Source organism: Homo sapiens, chromosome 9, assembly GCF_000001405.40.
Source record: "Homo sapiens chromosome 9, GRCh38.p14 Primary Assembly".
Taxonomy (NCBI): Eukaryota; Metazoa; Chordata; class Mammalia; order Primates; family Hominidae; genus Homo; species Homo sapiens.
Window position 1 is genome coordinate 95,948,574 of NC_000009.12, and position 20,960 is coordinate 95,969,533.

The window sequence follows — 20,960 nt, forward strand, 5'->3', positions numbered from 1 at the left end:
AGGTGGAGGCTGCAGTTAGCCAAGATGGCAGCATACCCAGGCAGGATGTATACCCAGAAATGACCTGAGAAGACTTTTAGCCTTCACCCCATGTTGTTCCCAAGGCTCAAGACACACCCTGCTAATTAGTGAAGGTCTTCCTTACCAGTTTGCAAAGACTTGGGGAGTTGGCTGTCTTTCCAAATGGTAGTTTTCAAGAAAAGACCACAAGACATTAGAAAAAAAAAAAAAAAAAGAAAAGAAAAGAAAGAAAATGAAAATACAGCTCATTCAGAGTAACAAAATAAATCTCTAGAAACTAACTGTCCCTGAAGCAAAACAGGCATTGGAGCTACTAGACAAAGACTTTACAACAAGTGTCTTAAATACTCCAAGAGTGAAAGTAAAACACAGAGAAAGAACTAGTGAGGAAAAGGATATATGAGCAAGATGAGAGTATCAACAAAGAGATAGAAATTAAAAAAAGAAAAAAAGAGAGAGAACCAAACAAATTCTGGACACGAAATTCAATTTTGGAATTGAAAAATTCACTAGAGGAGTTCAACAGCAGACCAAAATAGGGAGAAAAAATCTGCAAACTTGAAGATAGGTTATTTAAAATTATTTAATCTGAGGAGCAAAACAAAAAGGGGAAGTGAACATATAGGACACTATCAAATGGACCCAATATGTACGTTATGGAGGCCCAGAAGAAAGGGAAAAGGACAAAAGGGTAGATTAAGAAATAATGAAAAGCTCTCCAAATTTGAGGGAAAATATGGATATACAAATACAAGAAGATCAACCAAGTCCAGATAGTATAAACCCAGTGAGATCCACACTGTGGCACATTATAATCAAACTGTCCACAAAGAGAGCATCTTGAAAGCAGCAAGAGAAAAGCAACATGTCATGTACAAGGAATTTCCATTAAGATTATCAAGTGGATTTGTCAGTAGAAACTTTGCAATCCAGAAGGCAGTGGGATAATATATTTAATGTATTGGGGGAAAAAAAAACAAACAAACTGTCAACTGAGAAACAAAGAAAAAGTGTTTACCGAGAATTTTATGTTGGGCAAAACTGCCCTTCAAAAATGAGGGTTAAGATATTTGCAGACAGACAAAAGCTTGAGGGAGTTCATTACCACTAGACCAGCCCTGTAAGGAATCCTATCCCTGGTGCAGTGGCTCACGCCTGTAATCCCAGCACTTTGGGAGGCCAAGATGGGTGGATCATGAGGTCAGGAGTTCAAGACCAGTCTGGTCAAGATGGTGAAACCCCGTCTCTACTAAAAATACAAAAATTAGCCAGGCATGGTGGCAGGCGCCTATAATCCCAGCTACTTGGGAGGCTGAGGCAGAGAATTGCTTGAACCTGGGAGACGGAGCTTGCAGTGAGCCGAGATGCCGAGATTGTGCCACTACACTCCAGCCTGGGAGACAGGGTGAGACTCCGTCTCAAAAAAAAAAAAAAAAATCCTAAAGGGAGAACTTCAAGATGAAATGAAAGTACACTAGACAGTAACTCAAAGTCATACAAAAAGATAAAGATCTCCAGTTAAGGTAAGTATCATGGACAAATATAAATACCAGTATCGTAATTTTGGCTTATAACTCTGCTTTTTTATTTTCTACAGGATTTAAAAGACACATGCATAAAATAATTATAAATCTATGTTGACAAGTACATTGATATCAATGTAAAATCAATTGATTTAAGGTTGTTATAACTTTAGGATATTATATGTAATCCCTGTGGTAACCACAACAAAAATATCTAAAGTATATGTAAAAGGAAATGAGAAAGGAATAAAAATATGTCACTAAAAAACATCAATTAAACACAAAGGAAGGCAGTAATGGAGGAATTTAGGGGCAAAATAGTTATAAGACATATAGAAAATAAATAAAGTGGGAAAAATGAGTTCTTCCCTGTTCTTAATTATTTCAAATGTAAATGGATCAAATTCCATAATTAAAAGATGTAGATTGGCAGAACAGATTTAAAAAACAGTGTCCAAATATATGCTATCCATAAGAGACTCACTTTAGGTCCAAGAATATACACAGGTTGAAAATAAAAGCATGGAAAAAGATATTTCATGCAAATAGTAACCAAAAGAGAACAGGAATGGTTGTATTAATGTTAGACAAAATAGACTTCAAGTCGACAACTGTTAGAAGAAAGACATTATCTGATGGTAAAAAGTGGATTCACCAAGATTTAACAATTATATACATAAATTCAACAAACAATAGAGCCCCAAATTGTATGAAGCAAACATTGACAGAATTGAAGGGAGAAATAGCTCTGCAATAATAATGGGAGACTTCAACACCTGACTTTCATAATAGGTAAAACATTCAGACAGAAGATCAATAAGTAAGGAGAGGATTTGAACAGCAATATAGACAAATTGGACCTAACAGATATATAGAATTTTCCTTCCAACGACAGCAGAATACATACTTTTCTTAAGTACACAATGAACACTCTCCAGGATAAATCATGTGTTAGGCCACAAAACAAGTTTTTAATACATTTTAAAAGATTGAAATCATTCATTTTTTTCCAGTCACAGTACAATGAAACTAGAAATCAACAGCGGAAGAAAAATTGAAAAATTCACAAATATGTAGAAGTTAAACAACACACACTTAACAAAAGGGTTGAAGAAGAATTCACAAGGGAAGTTAGAAAATAGCTTGAAACAAATGAAAACACACACCACAACTTACAGGATGCAGCAAAAGTAATGCTAAGAGGGAAATTTATAGCTGTAAATGCTTACATTAAAAAAGAATAAAGGTCTAAATCAACAATTAACTTTCCACCTTAAGGAACTAGGAAAAGGAAAAACCCCCAGAGCTAGCCAGAGGAAGGAAATAACAAATATTAGAACAGAGATAAGTAAAACAAAGAATAGAAAAACGACAGAGGCAATCAATGAAACCAAGAGTTGGTTGTTTGAAAAGATCAAGAAAATGGTGGATAAATCTTTAGCTAGATTGACTAAGAGAAAGAAGACTCAAATAATTAACATCAAAAATGAAAGGGGACATTGCTACTGATTTTACAGAAATAAAAAGGAGTTCAAGAGAGTACTGTGAACATTTGTATACCAACAAATTGAATAGTCTACGTGAAATGGATGAATTGCTAGAAATACACAACCTAGGAAGAATGTCATGAAGACATAGAAACCTGAATATAACTATAACTGTGTAAGGAGATTGAATCAGTAATCAAAAACCTCCCAATAAAGTAAAGCCCAGGACCTTAAGGCTTTGCTGATTAATTCTACCAAGCATTTAAAGAATTTGCACCAATCCAGCCAGGCACGGTGGCTCACACCTGTAATCCCAGCATTTTAGGAGGTCAAGGCAGGCGGATCACGAGTTCAGGAGTTCAAGACCATCCTGGCCAACACACTGAAACCCCGTCTCTACTAAAAATACAAAAATTAGCTGGGCGTGGTGGCGTGTGCCTGTAATCCCAGCTACTCGGGAGGCTGAGGCAGGAGAATAGCTTAAACGAGGGAGTTGGAGGTTGCAGTGAGCCGAGATCAAGCCATTGCACTCCAGCCTGGCAACAGAGTGAGACTCCATCTTAAAAAAAAAAAAAAAAAAAGAATTTGCACCAATCCTTCTCAAATGCTTCCAAAAAACTGAAGAGGAAGAAACACATTCCAATTAATTCTATAAAGCCAGCATTACCCCAATACCAAAATCAAAGACTCTACAAGAAAGAAAACTACAGACCAATAATCTTTATGAATGTTAATGCAAAAATACTCAGTAAAATGCCAGCAAACTGAATTTCAGCAGCATATTGAAAGGATGATACACAGAGTAGGATTTATTCCTGGAATTCAAAAACAGTTCAACATCCCACAAAAATCAGTGTAATATGCCACATTAACGAATGAAGGAAAAAAGACACATAATCATTTCATTGATGCAGAAAAAGCATTTGACAAAATTCAACATCTTTTTAAAGATGACAAAAACAACACATTAAAAATAAAAGGAAACAAGCCAGGCACGTTGGCTCGTGCCTCTTGAGGTCAGGAGTTCAAGGCCTGCCTGACCAACATGGTGAAACCACATCTCTACAAAAAAAAATATAAAAATTAGCCAGCATGGTGGTACATGCCTGTAGTTCCAGCTGCTTGCTTGGGTGGCCAAGGCACGAGAATCACTTAAGCCTGGGAGACGAAGGTTGCAGTTTGCTGAGATTGCAACACTGTGCTCCAGCCTGGGCAACAGAGTGACTCCGTCTCAATAAAAAAAAAAAAGGAAACTACTTCAACATATAAGGTCATTTATGAAAAACCCAGAGCTAACATCGTACTCAGTGGTGTCATGATTGAATTGTTTTTCCTGTAATATCAGCTACGAAGAATGGATACCTGTTTTTGCCAGAAAAGGACAAAGATTGTATGATTTCATGTTGTACCTAGAGTCATCAAATTCACAAAGACAGAAAAGAGAATGGTAGTTGCTAGTAGCTGGGGGACTGGAGAATGGGGAGTTATTGTTTAATGAGTACAGAGTTTCAGTTTGGAAAGTGCCTGTAGCTATATAGGTGTTATAGTTGCATAACAGTGTGGATATACCTAATGCCACTTAACTGTACACTTAAAAATGCTTAAAATGATTAAATTTTTTGTTTTGTATATTTTGCCACAATAAGAGGAAATCAAGAGAGAAAAATTTGCTATTTAGAAACAACAATGAGGCCGGTTGTGGTGGCTCACGCCTGTAATCCCAGCACTTTGGGAGGCCGAGGCAGGCGGATCATGAGATCAGGAGGTCAAGACCATCCTAGCTAACACGGTGAAACCCTGTCTCTACTAAAAATACAAAAAAATAGCTGGGCGTGGTGGTGGGCACCTGTAGTCCCAGCTACTTGGGAGGCTGAGGCAGGAGAATGGTGTGAACCAGGAGGCGGAGCTTGCAGTGAGCCTAGATTGAGCCATTGCACTCCAGCCTGGGAGACAGAGTGAGACTCTGTCTCAAAAAAAAAAAAAAACAATGAAATTACTGTGGATCAATATTTAAATTCTGGTGCTAATTTCAATTTTTAAATTCATTTATTAAAAAAGAAAGGCCAAAAGTAAAAGAATAATTTAGAAAACTAGAAAAGGAACAAAGTAAAGAAAATAGAATTATACACATTATTACATTATTAAGATAAAAATAAGAACATAATATAAATTGTAACTAATTCATTGAAAAGAATAAAATAGAGACACTTTTGAAAAGTCTAATCTGAGGGAAAAAGTCAAATACATAGAAACACTTAAGCAGAAAGGCCATCTAACCAATAACAATGTTTATTTATAATACTTAATATTTTGTGTACAATTTTATTCAAGTACATTTGGAAGAATAAGGACAAAGGAATAATGGCTGCACTTATTGAGTGTTTATGGTAAGGTAGGAACTGTCATTCTTGGTGCTTTCCATGGATTATCTCATTTAATACTCAGAATATCCATATGTGATAGGCACTATTATACCCATTTTACATATGAGAAAGCTGAGGCACAGTGCACTTAAGTAGCTTGCTCAAGGTCATAGCCAATAAGTGGCAGGGTCAGGATCTGAATCCATGTGGTCTTACTGCAAAGCTTACACTTTTAATCAGCCTCTCTCCACAGACAGCTGTCAAGGAAATTGGTCAAAATGAAAACCACAGAAAAATTTCCCCCTTTTTTTTGATCTTGTTGTATTTTGTACTTTTTCATTAGGTCATCGAGACATATTATTTATCCCAGTATTCTTCCAAGCACAGTGTACTGTGCTTTGGTATTCACTGAAAGTTAGTTCACAATAAAACTGAATAAATGGCATTCCTTTTCCTCTCCCTGTCCTTCCACTGACTCTGACAGCCGGAACTGAGAACAGAAATAAAGCTAATGACCTACCTATCGTATAACAGTTCCTCAACACTTGTCTCCACTTGGTGAAAACTCATCACTTACAAATCCTTGCTTTATGGATCAAGAAATGATGAAGTATAGGCGCACAGTAACAAGTGTCTAAAATTTTTGTCTGTAAAGATTAAAGGATGTGCATCCTAATGGAATCTCTCCCATTCACCAAACAACTGGCTTAAGCATACATCCAAAGGACATTTTCTTAGATCCATTTCTGGTTTTCTTTAGAACCCAAACACATTGTAGGAGAGAAAGGGATGCTGAGCCCCTCTCCTCTGCTCCTGGGTTGCAGAATGGAAGTGAGAATGCAGTACCTTACCCCTGGTGGTGCTGTGTCACAGGAGCCTCCATTTCCTGCTGGAGATGTGAGATTTGCAGGATCCAAGATGTCCTCGAGTAAAAGTCCATTGTGAGGAGGGACAGGTAAAGGAGGCAGAGAGAACATCAAATGTAACATATGGGTGACCTTATAAGTTCAAAGATAAATTTCCCCCAAATTGTGACATTTTCAAGCATATAGGCAGTATGGCCTTGCCCCGGTTCCCCTCAGCAACTGTAACAGGCATTGGGTGCTCATACAGAGCATCCTATAAAGCCTCCATATGAGAGAAGCTGTGGGGAATAGACCTATAGTTAAACCACTGTGATGAATCAGTTTAGAATTTTAATTAGCACTATGGTCTGTATGGAAACACCTTGGATGCCAGTAAACTGAGTGATTCAGTCAGATCCACCTCATCTACGGATGAGAACTGTAGACCAGCACTTCATAGACTTTACAGTTGATTAATTACTTTTTGCTAAGTTGTGGTTTTTTTTACTTTTTAACAGTTTTAATAAAGTATAATTGACATGCAATAAACTGTACATACTTCAAGTATACAATTGATAAGTTTTGACTTATGTACATGTAAAACCATCACCACAATTAACATAATAAACATACCCATCATCCCAGAATTTTCCTTCTGCCCCTTTGTGACCCACCTCTCCCATTCTTCCCCATCCCCTTATCCCCAAGCAACCACTAGTCTGCTTTCTGGCACTATGGATTAGTTGGCATTTTGGGGATTTTTATATAAATGAAATCTTTGGGGAACAATCTGTAAGCTTAAAGCTGCTATAAAAGAAAAACCTGAATTTAGGAAATGTTTTTAGACAGTGGAAAGTGATGTTTATAACAAAAATGAAGTTGATACTTGTAGGTTTTCTGTAATATTTTTTCTCCTTAATAAGCTTTTTATATGAGTTTGAATTTTTGAATTATTACTAAATAGAGCATATTTAAACATAAAATGTTTATTTTTAAATTAATTAAAAATTTAATGATTTTCCATTTTTATGTCCCCAAGTTACCTCTTCAACCCAAAGTTGCTTCACTTGATTTTTGTTTGTATTTTTAATCCTTTTACAGAGCATATAGGATTGGACAATGTAGAGATGTCAAAGTGCTTAGGCTGATATCCTTGGGAACTGTGGAGGAAATCATGTATTTACGACAGATATACAAGCAGGTAAATATGTTTCCCTTTTTCTGTTTCAGAGGTCAACATTTATCTGTTTTCAAAAATTAGGAACAAATTTGTGTAAAATGTAAGTTTTAAATCTTACTGTATTGCGGAATTTAATAAGATTATAAAAATTACCCTTGAATACACTTTTATGAAACAGATTCTTTGGTTCATTGAATTTTTGAGCTGAAAGTTTTCTAGAGCAGTACCTCTTAAACTTTAGTGTACATGCGAATTACCAAGGGATCTTGTCAAAATACTGATTGTGATTTAGTAGGTCTGAGTTAGAGCCCATGATGTGGAATTTTTAACTAGCTCCCAGGAGTCCTAGTAAAACTAATCAGCCCACATTTTGAGTAGCAAGGTCACAGCTCCCCAAATTACAGGCCAAGATGTAATGGTTTACCACAAATGGGCTACAGGTGCACTGATATGTTGGTCCCACAGCTTTCTGGACAGCAAGAGTACCTAAGCCAGTGTGTTAGTTCATTCTCATGCTGCCATAAAGAACTGCCCAAGACTGGGTAATTTATAAAGGAAAGAGGTTTAATTGACTCACAGTTTCACATGGCGGGGGAGGCCTCAGGAAACTTACCATCATGGTGGAAGGGGAAGCAAGCATGCCCTTCTTCACAGGATGGCAGGAAGGAGAAGTGCTAAGCAAAGAGGGAAAAACCACTTATAAAACCATCAGATCTCTTGAGAACTCAATATCCTGAGAACAGCAGCATGGGTATAACTGCCCCCATGATTCAGTTACCCACTGGATCCCTGCCACAGCATGTGGGGATTATGGGAACTGTAATTCAAGATAAAATTCGGGTAGGGACACAGTGAAACCATATCAGCTAGCTGCCAGCCTTTGAGTAACCTCTTCTTTTTACACCAGGTAGATATTCATATGTTACCATTTTCTACATGTGCCATCACATGAAGATTAGGGAGCACTACCTTAGAGGTGCATGATGTACATGATGAAACTGGGACCCCAGAGATCCCCCAGTAAATGAAATTATAGGAATAGAGCTTAAGTGTGCTAACTACTTTCCTGGTACTTTTAGTATTCGTCCGAAATTGCATTAACTCTTTAATATGCTTGAGATATCAATTACTACTTCATTTATGCCTCTAAACAAACAATATTTATTTAGTTTACAACTGGATACTTGAGACAATCTGGAATAAGGTTCACGTGTAATCATAAATATTACATTTGAATTGCTTCCTATATGTTCAGTTGGCATCTATTTAAGAGCAAACATCTGCCACATGTGTTGGTAGTTAACCTAAGAATGATCCAATCTTAAATTTATGCTATTTTCTTCATTCTAAAAATAGAATTGTACACAGCAGTTTTTGTTTTGTCTTAAAGCTTTTAGCTCTGTAATAAACAGTTCATTTTTTTTTTTTTTTTTGGTATAGCACAACTACTTGAAAATTATTTTTTTCTAACCTATTTAACCAACCTTGGGAAAAAGTGGGAAGTTACTCATCTTAGGAGCTGTTCTTTTGAGTACTGTCTTAGACTACTCTCAAGTAAGAGTCTTTCCTCAATTATGTAGTAATTTTTTTCAGTCCATTACTATATACATTTCCTTTTTACCTATTCATGCGACTCATTTAATGAAATGTCTTGTTATAAAATATACATTGTGCAGTAGTATATGATAAAACACGCTTCAGAAGATGAGGTAATTTAAGAACTTTATATGACACAAATAAAGATAAGATGGCAATCATGGAAGGAAAAGGCACTAAATATGGTTTAAAGATAGTTTGGAATTTTAACCAATGGAGCACACCTTCTAGCCTCCCAGGTTGGCTTTCAATCTTTTGGGGAAAAAAAATCCAAAAATTATGTTTTTGTTTTTTTTTTTAAATTATACTTTAAGTTTTGGGATACATGTGCACAATGTGCAGGTTAGTTACATATGTATACATGTGCCATGTTGGTGTGCTGCACCCATTAACTCATCATTTAACATTAGGTATATCTCCTAATGCTATCCCTCCCCCCTCCCCCCACCCCACAACAGTCCCCAGAGTGTGGTGTTCCCCTTCCTGTGTCCATGTGTTCTCAATGTTCAATTCCCACCTATGAGTGAGAACATGCAGTGTTTGGTTTTTTGTTCTTGCGATAGTTTACTGTGATGATTTCCAATGTCATCCATGTCCCTACAAAGGACATGAACTCATCATTTTTTATGGCTGCATAGTATTCCATGGTGTATATGTGCCACATTTTCTTAACCCGGTCTATCATTGTTGGACATTTGGGTTGGTTCCAAGTCTTTGCTATTGTGAATAGTGTGCATGTGTCTTTATAGCAGCATGATTCATAGTCCTTTGGGTATATACCCAGTAATGGGATGGCTGGGTCAAATGGTATTTCTAGTTCTAGGTCCCTGAGGAATTGCCACACTGACTTCCACAATGGTTGAACTAGTTTACAGTCCCACCAACAGTGTAAAAGTGTTCCTGTTTTTCCACATCCTCTCCAGCACCTGTTGTTTCCTGACTTTTTAATGATTGCCATTCTAACTGGTGTGAGATGGTATCTCATTGTGGTTTTGATTTGCATTTCTCTGATGGCCAGTGATGGTGAGCATTTTTTCATGAGTTTTTCGCTGCAAAAATCTCCTTAAGCTGATAAGCAACTTCAGCAAAGTCTCAGGATACAAAATCAATGTACAAAAATCACAAGCATTCTCATACACCAATAACAGACAAACAGAGAGCCAAATCATGAGTGAACTCCCATTCACAATTGCTTCAAAGAGAATAAAATACCTAGGAATCCTACTTACAAGGGACGTGAAGGACCTCTTCAAGGAGAACTGCAAACCACTGCTCAATGAAATAAAAGAGGGTACCAAGAAATGGAAGAACATTCCATGCTCACGGATAGGAAGAATCAATATCGTGAAAATGGCCATACTGCCCAAGGTAATTTATAGATTCAATGCCATCCCCATCAAGCTACCAATGACTTTCTTCACAGAATTGGAAAAAACTACTTTAAAGTTCATATGGAACCAAAAAAGAGCCTGCATCGCCAAGTCTCAATCCTAAGTCAAAAGAACAAAGCTGGAGGCATCATGCTACCTGACTTCAAACTATACTACAAGGCTACAGTAACCAAAACAGCATGGTACTGGTACCAAAACAGAGATGTAGATCAATGGAACAGAACAGAGCCCTCAGAAATAACGCCGCATATCTACAACTATCTGATCTTTGACAAACCTGAGAAAAACAAGCAATGGGGAAAGGATTCCCTATTTAATAAATGGTGCTGGGAAAACTGGCTAGCCATATGTAGAATGCTGAAACTGGATCCCTTCCTTACACCTTATACAAAAATTAATTCAAGATGGATTAAAGACTTAAACGTTAGACCTAAAACCATAAAAACCCTAGAAGAAAACCTAGGCAATACCATTCAGGACATAGGCATGGGCAAGGACTTCATGTCTAAAACACCAAAAGCAATGGCAACAAAAGCCAAAATTGACAGATGGGATCTAATTAAACTAAAGAGCTTCTGCACAGCAAAAGAAACTACCATCAGAGTGAACAGGCAGCCTACAAAATGGGAGAAAATTTTCACAACCTACTCATCTGACAAAGGGCTAATATCCAGAATCTACAATGAACTCAAACAAATTTACAAGAAAAAAACAACCCCATCAAAAAGTGGGCAAAGGACATGAACAGACACTTCTCAAAAAAAAATTATGTTCTTAAAAAAAAAATAAACCTGTAAAAATGTTAGAAAGCAAGAAGAGTTTTCTTGGTGGCCCCAAAATTGTAAGGAGTCCTAAAAGACAAAAGGAAGTTGGGATCAGATTGAAGGAAGAAGCCAAGTTAAACTCAGAAGACGACTACTGAAAAGGTAGGTGCAGCCTCTGGATATTCCAAGTTTAGAGTCAGCAGATACTAAAAAAGAAGGGAGCCTTAGGGTAACTGTGGAGCCCTCTTCAGGGTATCACTGATGGTGTAACAAGACGGTTTAGCCCTTATAATCCTATCCCATTTGGACCAAATTACAGCCAGCAGAGGTGTCTACTGTCAAGTGAGAACAATAAGTAGAAGTACTGGAAACAAAGAAGCAAGACAGAGCTCCAAATTTTTCTAATATTCAGAAGAAAGTCCCTCCTGTTGCCCAGAAGACTAATTACTTGCACCCTCCACTTTATTTCAGATAAGCACTGCAGTAGACAGAGATAAGCATGTGAAGTATTTAAAGGCAGATGAATAGCCCAGCCAAAAATAATTACCCAACAGTTTAGGAAAATAAACACTTTGAAAAAGGCACTATAGCGGGCTGAATACTGGCCCCGAAAAATATCAATTTCTAATCCCTGGAAATTGTAAATGGTACTTTATATGGAAAAAGGATCTTTGCAGATGTGATTAAATTATGGGTCTTGAGATTCGGGGATTATCTTGGATTATCCACAAGTGTCCTTATAAGAAAGAGCTAGAGGACAATTTGACACAGACAGAAGAGGAGAAGACAATGTAACCACAGAGGCATTGATTGGAGTGGTGTGCCAGAAGCTAAGGAATGGTGGCAGCCACCGCAAGCTGGAAGAGTCAAGAAGTAGATTCTTTGCTAGAGCCTCCAGAAGGAGTGTGGTCGTGGTCCTGCCAACACCTTGATTTCAGTTTAGTGATACTGATTTCAGATTTCTGGCTCCCAGAACTGTGAGAGGCTCAAATGATCCTCCCACCTCAGCATCCCAAGTAGCTGGAACTATAGGTGCGTGCTACCACACCAAGCCAATTTTTTATTTTTATTTTTGTAGAGATAGAGTTTCACTCTGTTGCCCAGGCTGGTTGAAACTGTGTTGTTAATTCAGAACTCTCCCACAAAGATAGATTCTAGCCCGGATGACTTCAGTGGTAAATTCTATCAAACACTTAATATTGTTTTTGAAAACAGAAGAAGAGGGAACACTTCCAACTTACTTCACAAAAACAGTAGAATCCTGATACCAAACTTGACAAAGACATTGCAAGAAGAGAAAATGACAGATGAATATCTCTCATGAACATAAATATGAAAATCTTTAACCAAGCATCTGTTTTGAGTCCATTGCACCCCTTCCCCTCAAAAGATAGGTTGAAGTCCTAACCCTTGGTACCTGTGAATGTGATCTTATTTGTAAGTAGGGTCTTTGCAGATGAGGTTAAGATGCGATCACACTGGATGAGAGTGGTCCCTAATCCATTGACTGATACCTTATAAGAAGGGGGAAATTTGGATACAGACAGCCACAGAGGAAGAGCACCATGTGACAATGGAGGCAGAGATTGGAGTGATGCCACCACAAGCCAAAGAATGCTACGGATTACCAGCAACTACCAGAAGCTAGAAAGAGGCAAGGAAGGATCATTCCCTAAAATCTTCAGACAGAGCATGGCCCTATGGACACCTTGATTTCAGATTTAGCTGCACAACTATGAGAAAATAAATTTCTATTGTTGTAAGACATCCAATTTGTAGTACTTTGTTACAGCAGAATTGGGAAACTAGTGCAGCCCCTAAGGCAAATACAGAGTATTGTAAATTTGACTATATTTTTGTATGAAACTTCTGTATGACAAAGGAACTGCAAACCAAATTCAAAGACAGACTAGGAGCATATGTTTGCCATATATGTAATAAAAGAGCAGCATGTACAAAATATAAAGAACTCCCACTGTATTAGTCTGTTTTCATGCTGCTGGTAAAGACATACCAGAGACTGGGTTATAAAGAAGAGGTTTAATGGACTTACAGTTCTGCATGGCTGGGGAGGCCTCACAATCATGGCAGAAGGCAAAAGGCACATCTTGCATGGAGGCAGGCAAAGAGAATGAGAATCAAACGAAAGGGGTTTCCCCTTATAAAACCATCAGATCTCGTGAGACTTATTCACTACCACGAGAACAGTAGGGGGTGAACCGCCCACATGATTCAGTTATCTCCCACTGGATCCCTCCCACAACACATGGGAATTATGGGAGCTGCAATTCAAGATGAGATTTGGGTGGGAACACAGCCAAACCGTATCACCTACAAACCAATGAAAAGAATAATAGGCATTTCACTGAATTAAAAATGCAAGTGGTTAACACATGTGAAAAAATCTTTTTAACCACACTCATAATCTAGAGATAGAAAATAAAATAAGACCATTTGCATTGTATATTCTGCAAAAGCTTTTTTAAAAAATGCATATTGAGGTGTTTTGGGGGGGTTGGGGAGATTGGTGCTGTTCATTGTTGGTTGGGGCATTTGAGAGATGCTCATATACTACTGTTGAGAGTACAACTGGTATAGGTATATGTAGAGTCTCCATAGCTAACTGACAGAAATCCTCTCACATACGCACAGTGAAGGATGACAAGGGCTTTTACTTAGCATTGCTTGCATTTGTTTAAAAAACAAAGGAAACAACCTAAATGTCTGACAGTAACAGAATAAATTCTGATACCTATATTACTTTGTGACAGCAAAATTTAAAAAATTATAGTCAGATCAAATGTACTGATGTGGCAAGATGTCTGAAGACATTTTTAAGTGAGTTGAAAAAGCAATATACAGAACAATATCTACAGTGTTTCAGTGTGTTTAGAAATAAAGCTATTTCTGTGTGACAGACTGTCCCTGATTTATGACATGGTTCAACTTAATGTTTTTCAGTTTTATGATGGTGCTAAAATGATACCTATTTATGTATGAAGTATGTTCCTCTACTTACGATGGGGCCACATCCAGATAAGCCTATCGTAAGTCCAAAACTCACTTTAGACCTAATGGTGTTTTCAACTTACAATGGGTTTATCTAGATATAGCCCCATCATAAATTAAGGAGCATGTGTATGTATAAATAGCTTTAACTTCATTGAAAGATACCTAGAAGGATGCACCTAAACGTTACAGCACTGGTTAGACTAATAAGGAGTGACCTGTATTGTTCATGAGGGGCTTTTATTTTGATACCTTTTGTTGCATCTGTTGTGATGATGCATTCAGATATTTTATACATTTTAAAAATATAAACATCACTTTTACAGCAGCTGTGCTCCTTCAGGTTTGGAGCATTTAAACAATCTAAAGTTTGGCATTCAGAAAGTCATCTCGTCTGTGTGTGTGTGTGTGTGTGTGTGTGTGTGTGTAAATTTTATTTGTAAGTGTTTGCAGAAGAATTGCAAGAACAGCAGAAAGAACCCCCAGTTAGCTTCACTCAAATCACTCAAATTCCCTATTTGCTGACATTTTACACACTTGCTTTCTCTTTGTCTCAGCCATTATCTTTATTCTTTTTCTGAGCCATTTGAGAGAGTTAGACTTCTCATCAGTATGTATTTCCCCAAAGAAGCAACACTCTCCTACCAACACTCTAAATTTTCCAGTATGTATTTCCCCAAAAGAAGTACACTCCTACTTAAATATACATAAAAACCAGTTTTATGCATTCTAAACACTCAGTTGTATATACGGTTCTACAACTCGCTTTCCCCACCCTCCACACTCCTCTCCAAAATGCAGTTATTCACATGAAGAAATTAACTTTGATAAAACATGATGCTGTAATCCATAGGACCCATTCAGTTTCCCCACCTCTCTCTTTTTCCTTTCTGGTCCAGGGTTTCATCAAGGTTCATGGCTCCATTTACTTGTGTCTCTTCAGTTTTCTTCAGCCTGGAATATTATCCAGGCTTTGTCTTTCAAGACCTTGACAGCTTTAAAGAATAAGGCCTTTGTGTAGGATGTCCTTCAGTCTAGGTCCATTTGATGTTTCCTCATGTCCAGACTCAGGCCAAGCAGTATTGGCAGGAATACCACAGACATGATACTGTGCTCTTCTCGTTGCATCAGTCAGAAGGCACATGGGGGTGACCTGCCCTACTACTGCTCACGTTAACCTTGATCGCAGGTCAAGTTTGTGTCTGCTAAGTTTCTCCACTGCAAAGTTACTATTTTTTTCTTTGTAATTGATATGTAGTTTATGGGGAGATCCTCTGAGACTGCCAGTTCCTCATCAGACCTGCACGCATAACCCTTAGTGTTCATTCGTGATTCCTGCCTGAGTCAGCTACCACTATAATGGTTGTCAGGTGGTGATTTTTCTATTTCCATTATCCTTCTTGGTTGTTGTTTGGCACTCTACCATTTAAAAAAGAGCTTTCCCTTCTATTTATTTAATTTGTGTGGTCTCATGGCTTCCTATTTTAGTAATAGATTACAACACATTGAATATCACTATTTATTTGATGTTCACATTGTCTTATATTTGGCCAATGGGAACCCATTAGGGTGGCTTCTGTGTCATTTCGACTTGCTCCCATCATTCTTTTTGCACTTCTTTACTGTGGTAGGCTGAATAATAGTCTCCCAAAGATGTTCACATTGTAATCCCCCAAACCACCTGGGTTATCCAGATGGGCCAATGTAATCACAAGGGATTTTTTATAAGGGTCAGATGTGCACATCTTCATCTCTGCTAGCTCTGACCCTACTGCCTAATAACCCGTGGTAAGGAAGCAAAGGGTCAGAGAGAAAAATAATGAAGATGCCACACTGCTGGCCTTGAAGATGGAAGAACGGCCATGAACTTCTTAACATCATAAATGTTCTTTTCTTTTTACTTCTTTCTTTATTTTGTCTATTGTTATGATGAGATCCAAGCATTTTCTCCCTTGTATGGGTTTTTCATAAGCTACGAACTAAGCTACATTTTTTAGTTACTATTTTCCCCCTAACTTCTTGAATTTGAACATGATTTCATTTTTAGTTAGCCTACAGATGGAAGCACCTGGTTTCCACTTTTACTGGAGCCACTTTAGTACAAAATAATGTGCTTTTTATAAATTTTGTAATAAAACTTTGCTAGGAAGCTTATAAAGACTCAAATTAAGGCTTACAAATTACCTTGGTGATTATAGTTACAGGTCCTGCAGTCTGACAATATCAGTGTTTAAGGTAGTTTCAGTAACAAGGGTAAAATAGGTAGGTACCCGGGCTATCACTTGTATCAATTGTTATTGTAATTCTGTACTCCCAGGATTACAGCCCATGTTCATTGGTATCAAATTGATCAAGTTGGTATGTTGATCCATAACTTCTTTAAATGAAGGTCCCGAGGGTTTTTTTTAAGAGAGGCATCTTGAAAGTGAGAAATTAGTTAATAGTATAAATTTTAGATTCAGCCAAACCAAGGTTCAAATTCTAGGAATGACACTTCTTAGCTGGCAGCTGTGAGCAAGTCACTTAATTTCTCTAAACTTGAGTTACTTTATTTTTAAAATACAGAAATTTTAGTTATTTTATTTCTAAAATTGAGATGATATAAGGTTGTAAGGATTAAATGAGAGTATGGAAATAAAATGCTATACATGTAATAAATGTTCAGTAAATGGCAGCTGTTATTAACAAGAATTTTAATTGCCTAGAGTAACTTATTACAGTGCAAATGAACTCTGATGATAATCTCAATAGTTAAGCATTTCTCTTTTTTTGTTTTTTGTGACGGAGTCTTTGTCACCCAGGCTGGAGTGCAGTGGCGCCACCTCGGGTTGCTTGCAGATTCCACTAGGTTCAAGCAATTCTCCTGCCTCAGCCTCCCGAGTAGCTGGGATTACAGGCACCCACCACCATGCCCAGCTAATTTTTGTATTTTAGTAGAGAAGGGGTTTCACCACGTCGACCAGGTTGGGCTCTGACTCCTCAAATCAAGTGTTCCTCCTGCCTCCACCTCCACCTCCCAAAGTGCTGGGATTACAGGCATGAGCCATTGCACCCGGCCCTTAAGCATCATTTTTTACTGATTTCTCCGTCAGTGGGCTGAAGTTATTTTCCATTCTGTGCATTCTTTGTTTCTTTCAAGGAATTTTAAAGTACACATGGGGTTAATCAGATTGTATTTTAATTTTACATATTTATATTACATTTAGTAAAATATCCAGCAAATAGTGCATATTAATGTTGATACTGAAATGGTGTTTTTAAATGTTCCATGTCAGTGTTCTTTCTGTATTCAAAATTATGTCAAAGATGCAGTGTTTCTTAAAACAGTGATAGGGTTTTTGCTGTTAGTAGGCAATGTAGTCAAGCCACAATTAGTTTGACACCAAGGTGGTTATCATATCATTACTTTAGATTGTAATTTAACTTCAGTGATGTAGTAATTACTTCTGCCAGTTTTAGTAGTTGCTATTGTAATAAGAGTTTTAAAAGGAGAAAAGTATATTCAAATGTATGCTTTTATTATTAAACATTTATGTCAGGTGGATATTCTATAGAGATGTAATCTTGACTCAGTTGTTAGAAAACAGATAAAATAGGAAATATAAGATCTCTGTTTCAATAAGACTGGCCAGATTATTATTATTTCACCATAATGGCAACATCTGCCAGGGAAATTAAAACAAAATTTCCTCCCTAAGGAGATTCTGCCTGCTCCAGCTAAAGCTGTGTATATACAGGGAATGCCAGGAAATTCTGACATATTGTTGGAGCAAACACTTCAAAAATGTCTTGTGTTTTTTCTGTTTTAGCAACTTCACTGTGTGGTGGTTGGAAGTGAAAATGCCAAACGATATTTTGAAGCAGTTCAAGGATCTAAAGAGCATCAAGGAGAGCTTTTTGGGATCCATAACCTCTTCAAATTTAGGTCCCAAGGGTCTTGTCTTACGAAGGACATCCTGGAGGTGTGAACTTCTTCTCTGACCTTTTCAATAATATTTTAAATACAGTTTTTCTTCCTCAGGAAATCTGAAATACAATTGCTGTTGCCTTTTCAGAGAAACTTTTGGTTTTCTTTATCAAAAATGCCTTGGAATTTTTACTTTTAGAGAATAAGAAATGAATTATTGTACCTCTAAACTAAGATTTTCCCATGCATAATTACAAATAATGCACACACACAAATGTATATGCTGGGTAGTATGAACTCCAAGGCAATTTTAAATAGGCAGAGAGAAGTTTATAGTTTTGAAAACAGCTGCTGAAGTCAGGAACTAAAAAAAGAGGTTTTCCTAAATAAACAAAAATATAAAATGTGTTTTAATTAAAAGTTACCAAATACTCCCTGAGATGTACTCTCATGTCTCATGGAGATTTTTGTTTTCTGTTCCCAATAAAAATTCCACACCAGTATTTTAAACTCTCCCTGTTGTGTTCATCCTCAGCATACAGATGTTTCTTATTCCTCAAACAAAATATTTTATATCCTTTTTTAAAAAAATCTTTAAGTTCTTTTATATACCGGAATACTAAGGATATTAACCTATTTTCTAATTGATATTCATATAGGTATCATAAAATCCTGGAGTATCATCTTTTTCAACCTCCTCATGGTATAGATGAGGAAACTGAGTCTTAGAGAACTTCAGGATATTTCTCTTGACTTCCAGGACTTTGTAGTAAAATCTTAATGTACTTCATTTATTCAGTAAGTACCATAAAGGCAGTTCAAGGAGCAATTGGTTCCTGTCCTTGAGGAACTTAAACCATCTTGACCGGAGGTGGAAGAGAACGTTTACATAATAACCATGCAATGTCAGGAATCGTATGCTGAACAAGTTAAACAGTAGACCATGGATGGCTGGGGGAGAGGAAGGTATATATTATTTGAATCCTATAAATGTTGTTACTATTATACAGTTTCTGATATATACTGCTGAGTTTCTATTTTATAGTAACTATATTTGATTCTGAATTCAGTGGCCCATTTGGAGTCCTACTTTTTGGGGTTTTTTCCCCTTGCTTTTTAAATACGCTGTTTCTTTCATGAATTTGTTCTTTCCAGTTTCCCTTTTCATATCAATAACTTTGTTTGCCCTCCAGCTCCCAAACCCAGCTGCTACCTCCATCTCAGAGTACTACTTGACATGCCTATATTGATGTTAAAGTCAATTGTCTATAAAAATATTAGCATTTTATTATTTATCCTGTTTTCTGTCATATATGACATAGTTACCTGTTTTTATCAGAATAACCACCTATTTCTTTGTTAAACAAGTGTTATATAAGACATATCAGGATGACAGGTTATTAAGTAGAAAAAGTTCCCTTGTTTATCGTGCCACTGCACTCCAGCCTGGGGAACAAAGCAAGAGACTTGTCTCAAAAACAAAAAACAAAAACAAAAAAAAGTTCTCTTGTTCACTGGTTATTCTAAGAATATCTTGTTTCACCTTCAGAAGTGTTTATTAATGACAGGACCATCCATGTCTTACATTTTCTTTTTTAAAAATATCTTTTAAGTTCTTTAATATACCAGAACACTAAGAATATTAACCTATTTTCTAATTGATATTAATAAGGGGTGACAAGGCCATCCATGCCCTACATTTGTCTTGCTAGGCATATCATTGGCACTTGATTATTAAGTTAAATTTTGAATTAAAATTACTCATTTGTCATCAATCAGAATGTAAATTTATTCAGGATTGGTTAGATTCATGCTGCTTTGGGCCAAAAGGTGCTTCTAAATATTATTATTAGCCCCATATAATGGGAGTACCTATCATAAAGTAAAAGGAGTATTTCACTTCATGTGAGACATTTTTAATTTTTAAAGGTTGTATAAAATCTCTTTTAAAATGTTTTAAGATGTAAAAATTTGAATATTTACACTTATAATCTTATGATTTCTGGGCAATTTCATTCTGTTTTGCATTGACTTTCCATTATCTATATTATGGTTTCTCTTCAAAGATAGATATTGAGAGTTCATTTTACAAGTATTTGTTGAGCATCTGCTAAATGTCAGGTACTGTTCATAGAGCTTTGCATACATAAAAGAACAAAATAAACAAAACGATCCTGTCTACCAGAAGTCTGCATTCTATATGGGGAGACAAATGATAAACAATAAATAAGTGAAATATGGAATGTATTATGATAGGTTCTAAGGATAAAAAATAGAACAGGGAAGGGAAATAGAAACTGTTAAGGAAGGGGCATTGCAGTTTTAGATGGGGTAGTCAAGGAAGCCCTCACTCTGAAGGCTGCATTTGAGTATTCAAAGAGGTGAGGGAGGAAGGTGTGTTTTAGATAGGGGAAACAAATGCAGAGGTCCTGAGGGAGGAACATGCCCCGTGTGATCTCCAATGTCAGGGAGGCCAGAGTGGTTAGAGTGGGGTCAGCAAGAGAGCAAGAGATGGAGCCGGAGAGATGACAGAGAGCCAGACCATGCAGGAACTTTGACTTTTACTTGAATGAGACAAAAAGCAATTAGAGGGTTCTGAACAGAAAGATGACATAGTCTGATTTATATTAGCTTGACTTACTATTGAAAACTAGACTATAGAAGTACAAGGACAGAAGCAAGAAGCCAGTTAGGAGGATACTGCAGTAATCCAGCTGAGAGATGATGTCGGCTTGAGCCAGGGTGATTGTGGTGGGTGGCATGAGAAGTGGCTGGATGCTGTATATATTATCCAGGTGGCACTGACAGGATTTGCTGACGGGTCAGATACAGGGTATGAGTAAAAGAGAAGAGTTAAGGATGGCTCCAAGGTGT

At 37.1% G+C, this 20,960-nt stretch overlaps 1 protein-coding gene across 16 annotated transcripts in view; it reads left to right on the forward strand.

The window, feature by feature from the left end:
• Window positions 1-20,960, forward strand: part of ERCC6L2 (ERCC excision repair 6 like 2) — a 165,402-nt gene that overhangs the window by 72,883 nt on the left and 71,559 nt on the right. For 10 of the 16 annotated variants that reach the window (NR_164677.1, NM_001375291.1, NM_001375292.1 and 7 more), the window contains 2 exons: window positions 7,341-7,440; window positions 17,989-18,141. Coding sequence is in view for 15 of the 16 variants with exons in the window: in NM_001375291.1 (NP_001362220.1) it covers window positions 7,341-7,440; window positions 17,989-18,141 (253 nt within the window). In the remaining variant the exon portion in view is untranslated. Of the gene's footprint in view, window positions 1-6,154; window positions 6,350-7,340; window positions 7,441-17,988; window positions 20,268-20,960 lie in introns of those variants that run through there. The other 6 variants (XM_047423357.1, XM_011518641.4, XM_047423361.1 and 3 more) reach the window with 4 other exon arrangements.